The sequence below is a fragment of the Homo sapiens genome, chromosome 3 (assembly GCF_000001405.40).
Source record: "Homo sapiens chromosome 3, GRCh38.p14 Primary Assembly".
NCBI classification, from domain to species: domain Eukaryota; kingdom Metazoa; phylum Chordata; class Mammalia; order Primates; family Hominidae; genus Homo; species Homo sapiens.
Genome location: NC_000003.12, coordinates 5,739,678 through 5,759,893, shown reverse-complemented (window position 1 = coordinate 5,759,893; position 20,216 = coordinate 5,739,678). Strand labels below are relative to the sequence as shown.

Here is a 20,216-nt window from a genome sequence, read left to right as displayed (position 1 = left end):
GTTGGTCATTTTCAAATTTTCCAACACACTGTTACAGATTAATGGGCTGAAAAATACCCATTTGAAATGTGTGACTTATATACAGAAAATGCTCGCTTAATATCTGACACTGGGATTTCTTCACATACTGACAGCTAGGAAAGTTCAACGAACCACATATTACATTTTTTAAAAAATCACCTTGGCATTTATCACTCTGTGATCCTTTACACTTAAGGGCTTACCAAAGCAGGATTTTTTTTTCCCATTCAAAAATCTAGTAAATAGGGATCTGTCTCCAAAACAGCAAAGCAATCTTAATAATAGCTATTCAAACAAGGCTGCTGTAATTCTCTATTGCACCAAGAAAAATGCTCTGAAGTCAATAAATCATGTTTTCCTTTTAGAAAATTCTAGATAACTCACTAACGTTTTTGAATACGCTATTTGGAAGGTGGCTTCTGATTCAGGCTAATTAGACTGTCTTCTAATGAAATTTCAGACAAGATTTAACTCCACATTCCATACTGAGCAAACATTCGGGGTCAGAGCATTTGAATGCTGGTATTATAGTACAAAAATAAGGCCTATGAGATAAAGCAGCTGGCTTTGCAACAATTCAACAAGCTACACAAAACTGAAATTAAACAATGTATGACTTGAATTACTTTTGCCTTTTATTCCCTGCCTTGTGTAAGAAGGACCAATAAGCTAATCTGTTATCATGAACACACATGTTCACAAACACGTAAATACAAACATGAGCCATTCTTTTCTAAAATATTAGTTGGTGCAGTTTTTTTTTTTTTAATCTCATATTATCTTGTATCCAAGAGCCATTTCCTTATTGAGCCAGATAAGTCTAGCTTCACCAATCCCGGCTTCAAGGATGTGGAGGACGAGCAGAGAAACAAAACAGCTCTTCCTGGCTTTGCCTTTCGAGAGTTTAGATCCTGCAGGGAAAATAAAATGTCCCAGCGGAGACAATGGTTTTGGGAACACATATGATGACTCAGAGCAAGACTTTGCACCTCCCACGATAAATGATGATTCTCTAGGTAATGGAGGATATGGAAGGGAGAAGAAAGAGCTGAAACCTAAAGCGGGCCTGAGCCATTCAGACTGAGCTTCAGGGACAAGGAGAAAATACTCCCACATGGATAAGGAAATATTTTCTTCATGTTGTAACAATACATGTTTCTGTGTTTATGAAATCCAAAACCTAGACATAAACAAACGATTTCGGAAGATATGTGATATCGGAGGCAATGTTTTCTAGTCCTCAAACTAGATGGGCTTGTCTTTGGAGTTGCAGGGCCAGAAAACAAAGAAAAGAGAAAGGCAATGTAAGCCAGGGTCCTTGGGTTTCCCAGCACACACTGTAACTGGGAAAAGTTACAGGTGAAAGTACCCACCTGTAACTGATACACCTTGAGTTCTTGTTTCAGAAAAGTTCCGGGAAGAAGCCCACCTCCAGCAAAACAAAAAAAACGGGTTGGATCCTCAGATACTTCAGCTGGAGATGAGGTTTGGCAAACTCCCCTCATTTCCATACTAAAAACCCCACCAGAGGAGGAGCTTATTCTCCATTGTCCATACATGCGCCCTGTCTAGAAGCATGATCAGCAACTGCGTCTGCACTGCCTTCTCCACCTTTACGTACTAACTAACTTAACTCAGCTAACTAACTAGCCCAATGAAAGCCCTGTTTTCACCTTTGCTCAGGGAGGCACCACTTTGGGAACTATTCCTGGTGTCCTCGCTTGTTGCAAGTAATAAAGTCCCCTTGTTAAATCTTCCTTGGTTGTGGTCATTGGACTGTCACCCGGCAGGCAATCGAACCCACCTGCCTTGTGGATAATGGTAACTTAGACGCTGAGGGGGTCCCTGAGAATGTTTCTGCACTTCATCTCCAATAATAAGTCTCATTTGTCTTGACTAACAAAGTCTAAAGACAATATAAACTCACTGAATTTGGATACTTCTTAGTTGGACAGTTGAACTGATAGGGGAATGAAATAATGAATTGGTTATTTTCAGTATTTCTTACTGTTTCTTATATTTGGGAGACATATAGTACAATAGTTAAAAGTCTAGAATTCTAGGTTAGTCCTGAGTTTAAATTATTGCCCTTCTGCTAATTATATGATCTTAGGTAAGTCATTTGATTATTTAGATTCGGTTTTCCCATCGGTAAAATGATGACACTAGCTTTGTTATGAGGATCACATGAGAGAATATATTAAGTGCACAATGCGAAGCACATATGTGCTGAATAAATGACAGCTACCCGCTGTGGCTGTGGCAGTCATGATTCTCATCAAAATACTTTAGAATCAATAAAATTGCAAATTGTCAGCTTAGTCAAGTCAGAGCAGAAAATGTGGCTGAAAAAGCAGAAGCTGAGAAGCACAGATCACCAGTCTTTCATCGCAAAGTTAAATTCAGCCCTAAGTTTAATTTCTTGCAGACTTTCTGGTTGTGGGCAATGTGGCAAGAACAGAAAATGAATAACTCATGGTATCTGTCCTCAGGAGTTCACACGGATGTGGGAAGGTGAGACACCCACATACAGCATTGAAATAACTTTGTGCGGGTCTGTGCCAAAGGGAGAGCTATTTAAAAATATTAATAAATAAATGAACAAGGAACTGAGAAGAAGAAAGAATCAGTATAAGCTGGAGTGCTGGGAGAAGACAAGTATAGGCATGAGTGTGTTATGGATATTCCCAGTGTGGAGGAGGGGGACAACACTGAGCAAGACAGATTTCTGGGAATCTGGGAAAACCGGCCCGGGTGGTAGACTTGAGCTGAGAAATGGAGTGAAGATGTGTGTCCCACCCATATCCTCATGGTGCCTACCATTGCCATGCAAGCAGGCTGACTTTCAACTGCCAGCCTCTGTGATTTGGTGCCAGAGACTTTCCTGCAGCCATAAAGGCAGGGCAAAAATGCTAGATTAATGTTCCTCCCCAAGAAGCTCTCAACCAATGGTAGTTGATGGATAAATATTCCAGTTCTCTCTCACTGCTGTATCTCCCAAGATGTCCCCAACAGGATTAGGTTCTAGTGTGCTATAGATAAAACATCCCTAAATGGCTCCTTTCCCTGTTCTCTCACACTCCTCCACACCCCGATGGCTGTTACTTGGGATCATTTCCTAAATAAACACTTGTTTTTAAACCCTTGTATCAAGTCAAACCAAGACTTGGAAGATGATGGCATTCTGTTCCACGTGAATTTCTTGAGTACTTTCCACAGGCCCACACTAGGCTACCCACTGCAGATTCAGAGATGAATCAGATGTGTTTCCTGACCACACAGGATTTACAGTCTCGTTAGGAACGTGAAGGTGTTGGAAATGAGTTGTATTGAGGTCACCTAGATCATAAATTTCTTAGGTACAGTATGATGCTTGATTTCTCATTATGGCTCCCTCAGGAATGAGTACAATTCCCAGCAGATTGTACTTGCTCAACTATTTACTGAATAAATAAAAAGCATGATAATGACAGTACAATGCACTTTAAATGTTCTACAGATTTTCACAGAGCTAAGTGCTTTATAAAAATAAACACATTTATTCCCCCACTAAAACGTTTTAGATAGAAATCACTATGCCCATTGTAAAATTAAAAAGCTGAGGTTCAGAGAAGTTGTGTCACTAGCTAGGAGGTCACCAAGCTGAGATCTGACACAATGCTCTTAGATTCTAAATTTAGCAACCCCAATAGCTTTATCATCCTGGCCTTCTCTGCCCTGTAGCCAGGTAAGCAGGTTGTAATTAGGGAGAAATTCAGGAAAAGAAGCTTCTAGAAGCTCAGGCTGTGGTGCAACAAAAATGTGACTATTAAGCTCTTTAAACATCTCCTGGATGCTAACAGTTGGGATATCTGCCTCCTTAGTTGTAAGCCTAACTTTCCTAAGAAAGTAGCAGCTGTATCCAGTAAAGGAGGCGCTCATTTCTTTTTTTTTATTATAATACTTTAAGTTCTAGGGTACATGTACACAACATGCAGGTTTGTTGCATAGGTATACATGTGCCATGTTGGTTTGCTGCACCCATCAGCTCGTCATTTCCATTAGGTATTTCTCCTAAAGCTATCCCTCCCTCAGACCACCCCACCGCCCTGCCACAGGCTCCAGTGTGTGATGTTCCCTACCCTGTGTCCAAGTGTTCTCATTGTTCAATTCCCACCTGTGAGTGAGAACAAGGAGGCGCTCATCTCTTTACTGCCATTTGTGGATGACCAAAGGGAGTCCCAGAGGGTTTATGTGTTATGCCCACTATCACGATTGTTCCTTTCATGCCAGTCCTCTAACAAGCTGAGGCAATTCCTTCAGATGAGAATGGCCCATTGCAGCTCCTGGGCCCTAGGACTGAAGCAAAGGTGGGAGAATTCAGCCTACGCATCATATGGAACAGTGCTTCAAAAACTATCTAGAGTTAAAGACCAGTTCACAATTTTATAGAAAAACAGTCTATGTTTTTTAAATAAATTTTATTGTGTATGTTTAAAGTATACAACATGATGTTATATATGTAGTAAAATGATTATAGTGGAACAAATTAACATATCCATTATTTCATACAGATACCCATTTTTACCCCGGGGCAATAGCCCCTTTAATCTTCTCATTTAGCAGAAATCGTGACTACAATACACCATTATCGACTATAGTCCTCATGTTTTACATTAGCTCTTTCTACTTCTTCATCCTATACATCTGCTACTTTGTATTCTTTGACTTACATCTTTCTGTTTCTTCCCCTCCCCCACATTCTGGTAACTATTGTTTTATTCTCTATGTGTGGTTTGACTTTTTTTTTTTTATTTATTTTTTACATTCCACTAAATGAGATCCTGCAATATTTTTCTGTGTCTGGCTTATTTCACAAATTTTTAAATGTCCAATTTATAGCAGACCAATACTTCTGCCAACACACAAAAATACTAATTACTAGATGTCACAGCAAGGGCAAATTGCTCTAAAAATGCCTAAACGCTCTCGATTTCTACACTTATCTTGACATGGGCCACTGGGACAACAGTTTGTGGTTTGGCCCTGGGCCTCTGACCACTGACACTTTGAGCAGCACAATACAGGGAACAGGAAAGAGAGAGAATATACATGAGACAGCATACAATTCTCAGTTCTGCAAGAAGCAGTCTGGTGGCCCTCCCCTGTCCTTCAGAAACAATGCACCTCTCAGAATTGCTTCCCTGTGCCACCTCTGACTCCCCCCACACACTAAGTTGGGTCTCAATGCCCTCAAACTGTCTCTTGCACACCCAGAATCCTTCCTTCAAGTTCCTCGCACCTAGATCTCCCCTTATCACCTTCAACAAGATTTATCCTGTAACCCATCTCAGCTAGTATTTATTCTCTGCTAGAATAGAACACGTCTATCTTAGAGGTAAACGTAATAATCTGCATCCTATAAAACATTAGTTTTCAAAGTAGAGTGCTTACAGCCTGTGGGGTATGCAGAATGACCCCCTGTGTAATATGGCAAGCAAATATAACTCTGTTTATATATATCCTTTCTCTACCCTTTTAAAATTTCCGTTTTTGAGGTATCATTTATAACACACTTACTATATCAGGATAGTACATAAACAAACAGATATATGACAGGGTGCCAGCTTTTTTTTTTTTTTTTTTTTCTGACAGTACTCAAGGAAAAATGTTGTGGTTTTTTTTTTTTTCAGCTTTAATGTATCTAAGACTAATTGGACTACCTTGTTTAAAATGCAAACTCCACTGGGCATGGTGGCTCACACTTGTAATCCCAGCAGTTTGGGAAGCCAAGGCCGGTGGATCACTTGAGGTCAGGAGTTCGAGACCAGCCTGGCAAATATGGTGAAAACCTGTCTCTGCTAAAAATACAAAAATTAGGCGGGCATGGTAGCGTACACCTGTAATCCCAGCTACTCGAGAGGGTGAGGCAGGAGAATCATTTGAGCCTAGGAGGCAGAGGTTGCAGTGAACCAAGATTGAGCCACTGCACTCCAGCCTGGGTGACAGAGTAAAACTGCCTCAAAAAAATAAAGCAGCAGCAGCAGCTCTAAGGATCCTATAGATTCCGGTTTGTTGGTCTGCAGTGGGGACCTGGATTATGTATTTGTAATAATCACCTCTCCCCACCCAAATGATTTTGTTGCAATTGTCCCAGGACCATCCTCTGCACATAAAAAGGCAAACCATTTTGTTGGAAGAGATTCATATAATCTTTGTGAGATTTTATGTGGTGATAATTCATGAGTGAGAACAGGGTGCTGATATTCCTTTAAACAGTGACATTTTTAAAGTAATTAATTCCTACACTTGAAAACAAGGTCACTGTCTCCAAAACTCAATGCTCATTAAGATTCTAAAAGTAGAAATTAAGGGAGAGAAAGTCATTTATTCTGGAAAATGCAGACATCAAAGGGAACATGCTGTTCTTTTTGGATGAGTCCAAATGAATGTCAGGTTGACCTGCAGAGAAACTGTTAAAATGTGATAGAAGAACTTGAGTCTGGGCGCCTGTAATCCCAGCACTTTGGGAGGCTGAGGCAGGCAGATCACAAGGTCAGGAGATCAAGACCATCCTGGCCAACATGGTGAAACCCCTTCTGTACTAAAAATATTTTTAAAAATTAGCTGGGTGTGGTGGTACGTGCCTGTAATTCCAGCTACTTGGGAGGTTGAGGCAGGAGAATCACTTGAACCTGGGAGGCAGAGATTGCAGTGAGCCGAGATCACACTACTGTACTCCAGCCTGGTGACAGAGTGAGACTCCGTCTCAAAAAAAAAAAAAAAAGAAAAACAATTTGAAGCATATTTTGAAACATTTCGAGTTTGTATTTTGAAACTAGGGCATCTTGGGCATTTCCAGGTTGGCAAAGGGATTTATTTCCCAGAAGAGACCATGTATTTGAAAACCCTGGTTTTGGTAATGGAAGCTAGAGGAAATTGAGCTAATAGGCTTGGTATGATTTTCTGAGAGTATGGCAGCAGGTAAGAGTTCAGGCTGTGGTTAGTGAAAGGGAGGTCTAACAAGAGGTGACAGATAGGGTGGTCAGGGAAAAATGTTCCTATAACAGACAGCAGGGATACAATCATTAAGCCAAGGTTTGGAGACATGAATGGACTCCATTGGATTGATGGGGACAAGGCAACTTCTCCATACTGAGTTCATGGGATGCACTGCAGACTATCAAGGCAGAGACCCTGGAACAGCAAAGAAATATTATAAATGGAAACCAGGTCACAAACATGGCAGAATCTAAGTAGCTTGATTTGGGAAATTCAATCAGACAAGACAAAAAGGAAGTTAACTTGGTGCAGTTGAACTAAGATCCCATGAAAAGTCCTTTAGGAAAAGGTGTATTCTATATCCCACAATGGCCTAGGTCTTACCTGTGGGAGGTAATGTCATTGTCTCATCATCAAATATGTGCCTGGTACAGTGCTATGTGCTACACTCTAGTAAAATCTCAGAAAAGTCCCTGTCTCTGCCCATTTGGGACAGTCACTGTAATGGAGAGAGAGACTTCATTAAATAATCACACAAATAGATGTAAAAGGTCAAATATGTATGTCCTACAAAGTACTTCTCTAGAAGAGTGGATAAAAGTGTGTGTATGTGAGAAGGTGGGTTGTATTAGTGAGGGTTCTCCAGAGATCTATTATAAGCAATTGGTTCATCCAACTAAGGAGGCTGAGAAGTTCTCAGTTCTGCCGTCCTCAAGCTGGAGATCCAGGAGAGTCAATACGTAGTAGCGCCCGTCTGAGTCCCAAAGTCTGAGAACAAGGAGAGCCAATGATATAAGTTCCCGTCTGAAAGCTGGCAGGCTCAAGACCCAAGAAAAGCCAGTGTTTTAGTCAAAGTCCTAAGACCAGATGAAACCAAACGTCCCAGCTCAAACAGGAGGAGTTCCTTCTCACTTGTCGTGTTCTATTCACATCTTCAGTTGACTGGATTAGACCCACCCATATTAGGGAATGCCAGATCTGCTTTACTCAGTTTATTGATTCAAATGTTAATCTCATCCGGAAACACCCTCACAGACACACCCAAAATAATGTTTGACCAAATGCCGGGGCACCCCAAGGCCCGTCAAGTTGACGCATAAAATTAACCAGGGTACTAAACAGGCAACTGATGGCTAAGTTACAATCTGAAGGGTGAATAGGAGTAAACTAGGTGAAGATGGGAGGGAGGGAGGAAAGGGCATTCTAGGCAGAAGGAACAGCATTTACAAAGCATCTGTGGTAGAAAGACAGTTTGTATGGGTAAACATGGAGGGCAACAAGATGCCCAGTGAACCATGTGGCTGGAGAGACTGGTCCGTTAAATGTATTCTAAGAAAAATGGAAAGCCTTGGAAATGTTTTAAACAAAGAAAATGACATGAGAGAATTTGAGATTTGAAAGTGTCCCTCCGGATCTAGTTGCCGAGAACAGCAGCTTAGAGAGAGGCACAGATGGATGAGAGTAATCAGATGGCTGTTAGAGTAGTCTTGATGAGGGATGATGGTGGCTTGCACTAAGGAGGTGGCAGCAAACAAAGCTGTAAGATGGAATTGAAGGATAAACAGACCTTGCCACAAGAAAGGAGGGTATCAGAGCAGAAAACCAAAAACATGATTCAGTGTTGTCTCTATAGCCATTATTTTATCTAAAACATATCCTTATCAATACAGTCTGGACACACATATGATACATTAATTAATGAATGGATATATAGACATTGCTATGGAGCAGATCCTATTCCTAGCAGAAGTGAAGTGCCACTGCCTGCATTATCCAAATATTTTAGGGTGATCTAAAAAATGCTTTGTCAGGAAAAAAAAAAAAACTTCTAACTTTTTGCTGAGTTAAAATTTTTAAGAAAAGTTTCTCAGATGCCTGAGGATTCTGGATTGCACTAAAGGAATTCTTTCAAGTAATTACTCTCAGTGTCCTATAGCAGACAAGGTAAAGAGCCAAGAAGTGGAAAGACAACAATTAACCATGGCTCTCACATTAAAAAGGGAAGAGATGGTATATAACAGAAGGTTGTCATGATAGAAATCTACACAGGCTCAGTGTGGGTCATTTCCATCTGACCTGAATTTCCCATAGAGATTGTCTCTTTCATTAAAGTCAATGGCAGCTCATCCTCACTCTGCCCTAGTGATTTCCCCCAGCCGATTGTCCTACTAGGCATCCTGGTTGCACTTGCATCTCTAAAGCACTGATGTCAGTCAGGTTGGACATCTCAGGCCCCTGAAGCATAAGCCCATGAAGCAAACTCCCTTCATGAACTCTTTGTCTCAGAAGACATCAAAGTAAATGAGTGATCCATTATTTGATCCAATCTAAAACTTGCAAATTTCCCAGAAGATAGCCCAGTCCATCAATGATATATACATTTGGAAAGGAACATTTCTGATTGCATTCTCTTCATTCATTCATTTATTCAACAAATAGTGTGTGATGAACATTTTGTGCCAGATAAGCATGGTACAGCAGTGCCCACATGGAGACAAAGTGAAACAAGATATTTGAACAATTACAAAATGAGGAATTCAGACGCTGATGTAAACAGCAAAGATAGATCTCAAGGAAAACCCTACGGGACTTTCCCTAATGAACAAATCCAGCACTTTATGATTTGGTATAATTGCTCAACCCTTAACCTTACAGGGGAGATACCATGTTTAAGTCAAAAGAAAAGTCATAATGACATAGAAACCACCAAGAAGGCAAATGGATCAGCATCTCGAGTCATACACTTACTCATTTATTCACCAAAAACATATTAAATACCTGCTATATGTTGACTGTTGTATCATAGGATGAATTTTGAACAGTCATGGTTGAGGTGAAAAAGCCAAACAATAAATAAATTAGCCCTTGAATAACTATAAAAACCACAATGGTATTTAAGCACAATGAGTAAAAAGTGAAGGGTGCTCCAGCAGATGACAGGGGTCAGCTGGGAAGGGCAGATAAATAGGAAGATAAGTAGCAAGGATGTGCGGGAGGTAACAGGAGAGGGCATTCCAATCAGAGGGCACAGCACACCCAGACCTTGAGGAGAGAAAGTGTTTGGGGTGATAGAGAAGAAGGGAAGGTCCAGGCAGCTGAAGTACAGTCAGAAAGACAAGGCAGTCATGTGGTGAAGCTAGAGACAGGTAGGAACTAGCCTGTAAACCCTGCAGAAAAGGCTATAGATTTTGAATTTGTATAGGGAGGGCAACCTCGTTATAATAGTTTACATAGTTTCAAAAACACTATGTAGATATTTCTAGCTGTTCTCCAGTAAAACCTCACTTAAAAAAAGGGAAACAGAACATTTCCAGACATTCTAATTTGAATGAATAGGTTATACTACTTGAGTAATTATGTTTTATAATTTGTTAATGGGAAAATAAATTAGAAATAGAATAAAATGCTATTGGTTATTTTCTTTCTATTGTCCTGCCCCATTGCCTCCCACAAATGCAGTGCTGGAGGTCAGCCAATTCAAAAGTTTGAATAGCCCTGTTTATAGCAGAGCTCAAGCTCATCTATATCATGTTTTTGCCTTTAGGAGATGAGGGCCAGAGTGTTCCTGAAAATGAATAAAATAAACTTTATAAAGGACAGCTATATATTTCTCTAAGGTAAAAAAAAAAAGTTGATACACACTTCCCTTCAAATTTCTCATAGACAAAGTGAAAACTGTTTTACTTATATACCATTTTTATCCTAATACTTGAGCATTTCTAATGGAGAATAGAATTGAAAGAATAAACATTGTAATCTATTGATCTATCGGATGACTTTTTTTCCCCTCCAGTTTGATATGCATTATAGTTCTTCTTAAAATACTTTAAAAGTTTGGTGTTGTCAATACTAGAAACAGACCGCCTTCATCTATATTAATGGGACAAAATTTGCACTTACTGCTTGTAGAGAACATTTACACATTTTAAGTTGGCCAAGAAGAGGAAATAATTGTGTTTTCCATTAAGCTTGTTTGTGGGAAAATAGCAAACTCTTGGCCTCAAAACTGCTTTTCATCTCTACCAACAAACCTTACCCTTGCCAAATTGTTTCACAATAATTACAGCTTTTCAAATGGTTTTTCAACAACACTCAAAGATCCATTTTCTTACGAGTACACATTCATATTACAATACTTGAAAAACAATGTTAGTTGGGATGGGTCTATATGCAAACAAGCCTGTGGTATAAATTTAGAATTTTCTTTTATCCACAGAAAGCAGACTGCCATCTTCATTAAATTCTTATATGCACAGTTTTCTGCGTCTACTGGATTGGGACCATTATCTTATAATAAACACATCTGTCCTGTTTACTGCTACAAAACTAAAGAGTGACTTCTAGCCACAGCACTCCATGCGACACTTAGCTTAAGTTGTTGGTATCCTGCCTACACTCCCTTAACACTCACCCTCTCCAAACCTATGGACTGCCTCTGATTGCATGTGGCCACATCTCAAGCTTGAGTGCTTTCCTTGGCTGGTAGAAGGGACCCCTCAGCCCTCACCCCAGGAAGATAGAAGATCTGGGAAATTTCTGACCCAGAAATGGCCTCCAACCCATGACACATAAGAGTTGATGGCTTCCTCGCCCTTCACATGGGACAACTCTGAGACATGATCTATGTAGTCTCCCAAAGAACCAACAGCAATAACCTGCTCATTAATCTACCTTGAACTTGCTTTCCTTTTGTCCTTGCCTTACTTCTCCACTTCCCTACGGGTGCTTCCTGGGTTGCCTTGCAATTAAACTACTTGCTTTCATATCATTGTTTCAAATCCTTAGATTTGAGAGAATCCACCTATGCAAATACATTTTCCAAATGAGTTCCAAGTTGTCATTTTTTCTCCAAAAATATGTTTAGTATCTATGCAGAAAATAATGACCTATAAATTTTCATAGGTGATGATCTCAAAGACATTAAATGACAAAATTTTTGGAGGATGCCAACACTGCATGTCAGATGCTGGGAATAAGATGGTGAATAAGGTACCCAACCACTGCCTTTACCTAGATATAGTTTCAACCCTGTGATAATGAATCCTAGATTTCTTCTCCGAGGATTTCAGAAGTGAGGAAAGGTCTTGCATTTTACCTTCTAAAATTCCACTTTAAGGTCTCATACCCTTCTATGAAAGACTCTAGACCAATGGTGACTACCCTTGTTCTGTATCACAAATTCTGATCAAAAGTTACTGATACTCTTTCAGAAAAATTCACATATGTAGATGCATATAACATGGGGCATATAATTTCAGAGATTTCCCAGTCTTCTAAAACTCTATACATGGATACTTTTACAGGTATTGGAACCGAAGCAAAAACCCATGCCCTAGATCAGAGCTATCCAATGAAAACACAAGGAAAGACATGTGTAATTTTAATTTTCTAGTAGTCACATTTTTTAAAAGCAAAGAGAAACGGGTGAAATTAAGCTTAATACTATATTTTACTTATCCCAATATAACCAAACTCGTGATTTCAATATGTAATTAATACAAAAAATACTAATAAACCACTTTACCTTATTTTTTCTGTCTTCAAAATCCAGTGTTATATGTGACACCTATAGCACTTCTCAACTGAGGCTATCTACATTTCAAATTCTCAGTAGCCACCTATGCCTGGTGCTACCATATTGGACAGTGCAGCTCTAAAGAAAGAAGTAATGGAAGGTTGTTTTCCTGAACTTCCTCTTTTCCCTTTACAATCCCATTTGCCCTTTGAGCATCGTCTCATTATACAATAATTCACAACTTTTCACCCCATCTCAAGGCAACAGTTATCTCATTGCCTGTCTTCACCTTGCTGTGAAATACTCTTAGCTAGCTGTCATGTGAGCAAGAACTCAAAAACATACTCGTTGGGTTGATTAGTGCAGCAAACCACCAACACACACATTTACCTAGGAAACAAACCTGTACATCCTGTACACATACCCCAGAACTTCAAAGTTGAAAGAAAGAAAAAAAGAGTTGACATACCTGGTTGTCTAGTGGCTAGAAAAAATAATTAAAAGAAGGAAAAATAAGAGTTGACAGATTTTAGAGGAGAAATTGCAAACAGGCTCTGCTCACACACCAACTCTGATCATTTTCTTGTGATGTCCAGCGTTGAGGATTCTGTGTCTACATTTAGACACAGTGAGAAAGAATGCCATGATTAGTTAGCCGTGTTCTTTACTGGCGTACAGATGGGGATAATATATGAGCTACATGTTCTCTGATAAGAGGTGTTCACAGTGTATCAAACGTTTCTCACATAACCCAAAGATGTTAGTCTTCAATAAATTTCAGTCATGTGCACTTAGTAATTATTAATCTATGCTTAGATTTCTGTGGTCTGTTTTTTAAGAAATTTGTAGACTATGCAACAATTAAAATATATTACTATGAACACAGATATAGATATTCCTTCAGAAGGAGAGTAAGCTAATTTATGACACAGACAAGAACAGAATTTGGGGAGGGAAAAAAAATAGAGCTAAAGAAAGGTCTATAGCCAAGCTTTTGGACTAGTAAGGATCAGCAATACCATTGGAAACTGTCCTCTGACCCCCACTTTGGGCAACTATAATGTAGGGTTCATCTACCCACTCATTCTTTAATTTAATTCTCATAAAAACCATATAAGGTAGGTTGGAGAAGAGAAACTGTCCAATGGTCAAATGAAGATTCTGGAATGAGAAAATGAACAGTGTTCCCAATTTTAGGAGTATTCATGGACCCTGGGGACATTCTTTCCGATAGACTCCGACACCTCTCTCTCAGTATCTTTTCCAAAATGGTGGATATTCATTGTCTAGGGGAGGTTATCCTTTCTACCCTGGTTTATAAGTGTTTCAAGTTAGCAATCCCTCAAATGGCCTTTAGCTCTCAGGAGCAGAATTAGGTACTTAATTGGTTCTAATCATGGTAATTAAATCCATTCTTTTTTTCTCCTGCATGTGAAAGGAGATATTTTCAGGCACCCTCCTCTTCTGCCCCCCATAGGCTGTCAATAAATGAATTTTCTGTTCTGCCCTGTTTTTAGCCCTTTTTCTCAGGTTATGCCAATGAAAAACATAAATGGAAAGAAACACTTTGGAGTTAAAGAACTAGAAATATTTGCTTCCTGCAAAGCTAACTATAGACCATTCAATGTAATAGAGAAGCAAGCAGAGCCAGATGTCAGCTGGGTTCACTCAGTCCTTCCCAATTGAAATAAAATCGCTCAGGGTTCTATCTATCTATTAAATAATGGGACATCCATCTACTCCCTAAAATGCTTTGGAAATTTGGGAGATGGTACATATATTTCTCATAATCATCACTGGCTGCAAATTCCTGATTCTAATGAATTATTCCAGTTTACAGATTTCTTAAATGCAGCATTTTTGCTCCAGGACTCTTTACAATTAGACTCTACCTCCCAGTTTTACTTCCCCCAATTCTCCCAGCACGGGGCTATGTGTGTAGCAGACAAAGGTTCACAGCATCAAGCTAAAGAAGAAGTGGTTGACATTGCAGCAAATAACTTAGAATGGAATGAAAGACATACCTGCTAGGGGGAATATAGGATAAAATTCCATGGGAAATTTTGTTTGACCATCCGTGTTTCTTGGTCTCATCTCTTCTGTCCTCCTTATCCCTTGCTATATGTTCTATCGTGCAAGCACCCATAAATTTGTTATGTAGGACAGGTGAACCACTGTTTTTTTCAAGATCTCCTTTAATGATGAGTTAGTCCTTCAAAGTCTCCACCAAAACAACTGGTCTATTTTCTCTCTCTCTCTCTAAATATATTTTGCCAGCTCTGTTTAAGTAACAGAAAACTGTATTTACTTTCATCCTGCCTCTGGTCAGTTTCCTCAGAAGCAGACCCTGAGACAAGGATTTGTGTACAAGTGATTTATTGAGGAAGGGCTCTCCCAGGAGAGACAGACTTTTTCCTTTTCACCCAGGGAAGAGGAAAAAGTTAAGCAAAAATGAGATCTCATGCAAAATTGTTCAGAGGCTATGTTTCGCCTGATTTCACAGGGAAACTCTGGAATATAAGCTATGGCTCAGAGCTGTCCCAAGTAGGCAGCAAGTGTGAGTCTTTGGCTAAGGATCATTGTATTAGTCTGGGTTCTCCAGAGAAACAGAATAGATAGATAGATAGATAGATAGATAGATAGATAGATAGATAGATTGATAGACAAATACAGATATGAAGATAGGTAATAGATTAAATTATCATATTATATATTATATACAGAAATAATATTTATTATAAGGAATTGGCTCATGTGGTTATAAAGATCAAAAAGTCCCAAAATCTGCAGTCAGTGAGCTGGAGACCCAGTAGAGCCAACGGTGAAGTTTCAGTATGAGTCCAAGTTGAAACAGGAAAAACCAAGTATCCTATCTGAATTAGAGAGAGAGAATTCTCCCTTGCCCAGCCTTCTTGCTCTATTGAAGCCTCAAAGGATAGGATGACGTCCACCCATCCTAGGCAGGGCAATCTGCTTTACTCCGTCCACCAATTCAAATATTAATCTCATCCAGAAACAGCCTCACAGACACTCCCAGAATAATGTTTAGCCAAATATCTGAGAACACTGTGGCCTAATCAGGTTGACACATAAACTTAACCATCTCAAGCCCACCCCTTCTCAACTTGGCACCTATAGGCATATCCCTAAACCATACATAATCTCCAAATAAAGACAATAACAAGATCCTAATTATGCCAATTATGCCTACCGTGATACAACTATCCTGTGTACAACTGAAAATACATTGAACTCTTCTCCAAAGTCATTAAGATGATTACTCTTCTCTTTATATCCCCAAACTTTAATATTATGATGTAAAATTAATAATACCTAAATATTATGATATAAATACAATACAGCTTATGTTATATAAGAGGAGAATAGAGGGGTAAGAAAAGTTTTCTCATATATGCATAGATACACACATGTATATCATATATATATACACCAACATTAATGACAAAATAAGGAGGAAATACTGATGATAATTACAGTCATTTCTTAACTGGTCACATGGTTGTAGCTGGTATTTATACTTACTTTCTTCCACTACAAAATCTGTATTCCCTTTGCCTTCGGCACACAGAAAATTAACCATCACAGTCATCCAGGCACTTCTTGGGCATTTGTGAGTACAAGTTGGCTCAAGTACCCTGATGGAAGTTCTCCAAGAATAGGCCATGAGGGTTGGTTGTTAGAACCAAAATCATCTAGGAAAGGGGTACACAAACGTGTTAAACAGGAGCTAGGTGAAACACTATTTTTGACGACACCCTGCTTCACAAGACATTTGTAAACTGTTGAAATTTTCTTGGTATCTCTTTCCTCCAAGTTTTCAATACTCTATCATACAGGTACACAGGTGCCACAATATCCAGGCTTGTCCTTTCTGCTTTGTACTCCTCTCTCCATCTCCTGCCCTGGAAAAATTCATCCCATTCAGGGTCACACAATTCTGATAATTTGATGTGCCCCATACAACAGTTAGTGAATCTGATCTTCAAATCCATGGATCTGAATTTTAACATGTGACATTTCCCAGGTAACATTCATACTTTGATTAATGTTTATCCCAGAAAGTGTGTTTTAAGGAATTGACACTAAAATGGTGTCAAAATGTAGACAATGTAACACAAAATAGGAGAAACATTTTTGAACAGTTCTCCCATACGTGAACATCTCCAGTGGTTTCTTTGAAACAGTAAACACTTTCTACCCATATAGCTAAGCCCTTGGTAGAGACAGCAAATGTAGTAATAAGAACTATGTGAACTATTAATATTTATCATGGCTTGCTATATGCCAAGCACAGGCATCATGCAAAATAATTGTATCTCATCTAATCCACACAATGACCACCCTATGAGGTAAGCATTACTATCTCCATTTAACAGAAATTGAGGGTTTATAAAAACTGTGGTTTAGAAAATTTAAGTAACTCACCAAAAGGTAGGAGCTAAAAAATAGCAGAGCTAAGATTCAAAGTTTGTGATACATGAAACCAAAGCTCTTGCTCTTCTCCACAATGCTACCTTGCCCCCAGGAGTTAATTGATATTACCCTAAAAGTCAAATCAATAACCCAACATCGGGGTAAAGAAAGAAGCAGGAGAATATTGGCACTGCAAGGTCTTCATGAAAACCCTAATGGACAACTCACATGTAAGCTTCTTAGTTACATATAAATGTATGTGTGTGTTGTATGTTGCTTTCTTAATTTCTCTTTCTCTCTCACACACATCCCTACTCTTCACTTTCATCTCATGGGAATAAAAGATAAACTTAGATAGGAAAGGCAGGTTCAACAGAAGCTACCTAAGAACACTTCTTAACTCCCCAGTCCTCTATGCTGAGAGAAACTGAAGAAAATAAGAAAACTGCATCCAACTTCTCCATATTTTGTTAAAAGTGTAATCAAAGAAAAACTCCCTCTCCAACTTACAGAAAACTGTGTGAACAATTGCATGCTATAAATGCCTATCCACTATGTAATTTCTCAGAACCCAGAAGTTCAGAAAAATAAGTCCATAAATACTATACTGTGAAGAAGAATTGAGGTGTAATGTTTGTTGCTGCTGGGCAGTTGACAACTGCAAAATGATATGTAGACAATGAAAAATGATTTCCAGAGCCCTCTGAAGTGACACCCAAATGATAAATGTTTAATAAGAATCATATCAATGTTAAAGAAATTGATTATCACTGACTGACCTTTCATCTTAAACTGCCCTTTTTTTAATAAATGCCTTAAATATTTCAAAGGGAGCATTACAATATATTTTATTTGTGGCCTTTAATCCTCTTCATGAAAACGTTTCATTTTGATGAACGGCAAACGGAGAAAATACAGAACCTGATTCCGGGTATTTTACTGATGTCTCCATCTGCATGAACTCTGAGCCACAATTACCAGTGCTGTGAGATTGGAGGTTGTTGCTTATCCATTTGAGATCCTCGCAGTGATTAAGAAAAAAAAAAAAAGACTATCTTTTTTTTCATTTTTAATGAGACTTCATGGTTTGAGAGATCTGGAAACAATAGTTGAAACTATAGTTCTCCTATATAGACAAAATATTCTTATTTCTTAAGGTTAATCAGGACACTTATAACTAATATTTTCCCTCTAGAAGGAAAATGTAACTTAATACTGCAAACAATAAAGTGGAGATAGGTAGTCATGTTCCTTAGTCTTAGCTGGAATTTGAAGACTACAAAAAGTCTGAATAGGGGTGTGTGTTGGGGGATGGAGGAACAGGTAAAGAAGAAAGGAGGTTTAGATCTTCTGGTATTTTAACAAACATAAGTTTGAGTTTTCCCAAGCTCTGTATTCAACTGTGTTCCAGGTACTCTGATTGCATAACAAACTATTGTCAAATGTCATGTTATAGGGTAACTACTTATTATGTTCATGATTTCTGCAAATCAGGAACTCAAGACACAGCAGGCATGGTTGTCTCTGCTCCAGATTACCACACCTTAATGGAAGACGTGAAGGCTGAGAGACAGGAGGCAAGACATTTTTCTGTAAAGAGCCAGAGAGTAAGTATTCTTGGCTTTGCAGGGCATAGTCTCTGCCATGACTACCCATTTCTGCTATTGCAGGGTAGTAGAAGCCATTGATCATATGTAAATGAATGAACATAATATGTGCCAATAAAACTTTATTTATGAAAACAAGCCGCTGGCTGGATGTCGCTCCCTGGAGCCCTGAATGCTCATTTGCCTGCATGTCAGGAGGTTAATGAGAGCTGTCACTAGTGACAGGGGCTGGGGGGTCTCAGTTCTTCTGTGTATGGACAACTCCGTGTAGGCTCACTGTAAGTTCTTCATGAAAACCCTAATGGACAACTCACATGTAAGCTTCTTAGTTACATATAAGTGTGTGTGTGTGTGTGTGTGTGTGTGTGTGTGTGTTTGTGTGGTACACTGCTTTCTTTATTGCTCTTTCTCTCACACATACATCCCTACTCTTCACTTTCATCTCATGGGAATAAAAGATAAACTTAGATAGGAAAGGCAGTTTCAACAGAAGCTTTCTAAGAACCCTTCTTAACTCCCCAGTCCTCTATGCTAAGAGAAACTGAAGAAAATTAGTAAACTACTTCATATTTTACATTTGAGATAGTTTGGCCTTCCTGTCATCAAAGAGTCTGGGATCCAAGGATGTGAGTCCTAAAAGAGAGAGAAAGAAAGAGAGCATCAAATGGAAGTTATATGACCTAGTCTCCAATATCATGCAGCATGACTTCTATCACATTGTATTCATTGAAGCAGTCACTAAGTCCAACCTGGGTTCGAAGAGACACGGAAGAGACTGTCTCTCACTGGGGAGCATCAGGGTTCCAGAAGTGCTTGTAGATTGGAAATATTGATCTGGCTATTTTTGGAAAGTACAGCTTTACACTGTCTCACTCAAAACACCAACACATTTTAATGAGATACTTGCCAAGTCCCATAGTAAACAACAGGTAAATAAAAGTTAGTATTTGCCTCAGAAAAGATCACAACAGAGTGAAAAGACACCTTTGCAAAAAGATTTTCAAAGATAATATATTACAGAGATTTGAGCCAAAAAAAAAAAACATGGAGGAACGACAAATAAATGCTACCAACATAGATTTAAGATGTAACATTTATGTTTGGTCTAGAAGAAATGTCAGCAAACTATAGCCCATAGTCCCATCTGACCTGCTGCTTATTCTTGTTAAATAAAGTTTTATTGGAACACAGCACATTCATTTGTTTATGTACTGTCTATGGCTGCTTTTGCATTACAACAGTAGAGGTGAGTAGTTGCAACAGAGACTGTCCCACGAAGATGAAAATGTTTCCTTTCTGGCACATTACTCAAAAAGTTTGCCAACCCTAGGTGGTCTAAAGAAGAAGTTTGCCAGGAAACTGAGGGGAAGGGAAAGAGGGAAAAGCTTGTACAAATGTGGAAAGTCACCAACAGGCCTGGGTCCTACTCAGAGTCTATGGACTCTATTAACCAAGAACTGTGCAAGCTTTTCCTTCTTCAGGACAATGTTCGTATATTTTATTTATGCAGGAGCAATGAACACTTATCGGCTTGTGGGCTAGCCTTCATCTGTGTACAGAAAAGGATTCAGAGACTCATAGGAACAAGGAAGAGGGGAAAGGAGGGGAAGGGAGAGAGGGGAGGGGAGGGGAAGGGAGACAGGGGAGGGGAGGGGAAG

At 39.1% G+C, this 20,216-nt stretch overlaps 1 long non-coding RNA gene across 1 annotated transcript; it reads right to left on the bottom strand.

The window, feature by feature from the left end:
- Nucleotides 1-3,941: 3,941 nt before the first annotated feature.
- Nucleotides 3,942-19,297, bottom strand: LOC105376940 (uncharacterized). The gene is made up of 3 exons (XR_940572.3): nt 19,134-19,297; nt 16,061-16,230; nt 3,942-4,359 (listed from the first exon to the last, which is right to left on the bottom strand). It is a non-coding gene; the product is annotated as an uncharacterized LOC105376940 (long non-coding RNA).
- Nucleotides 19,298-20,216: the final 919 nt, after the last annotated feature.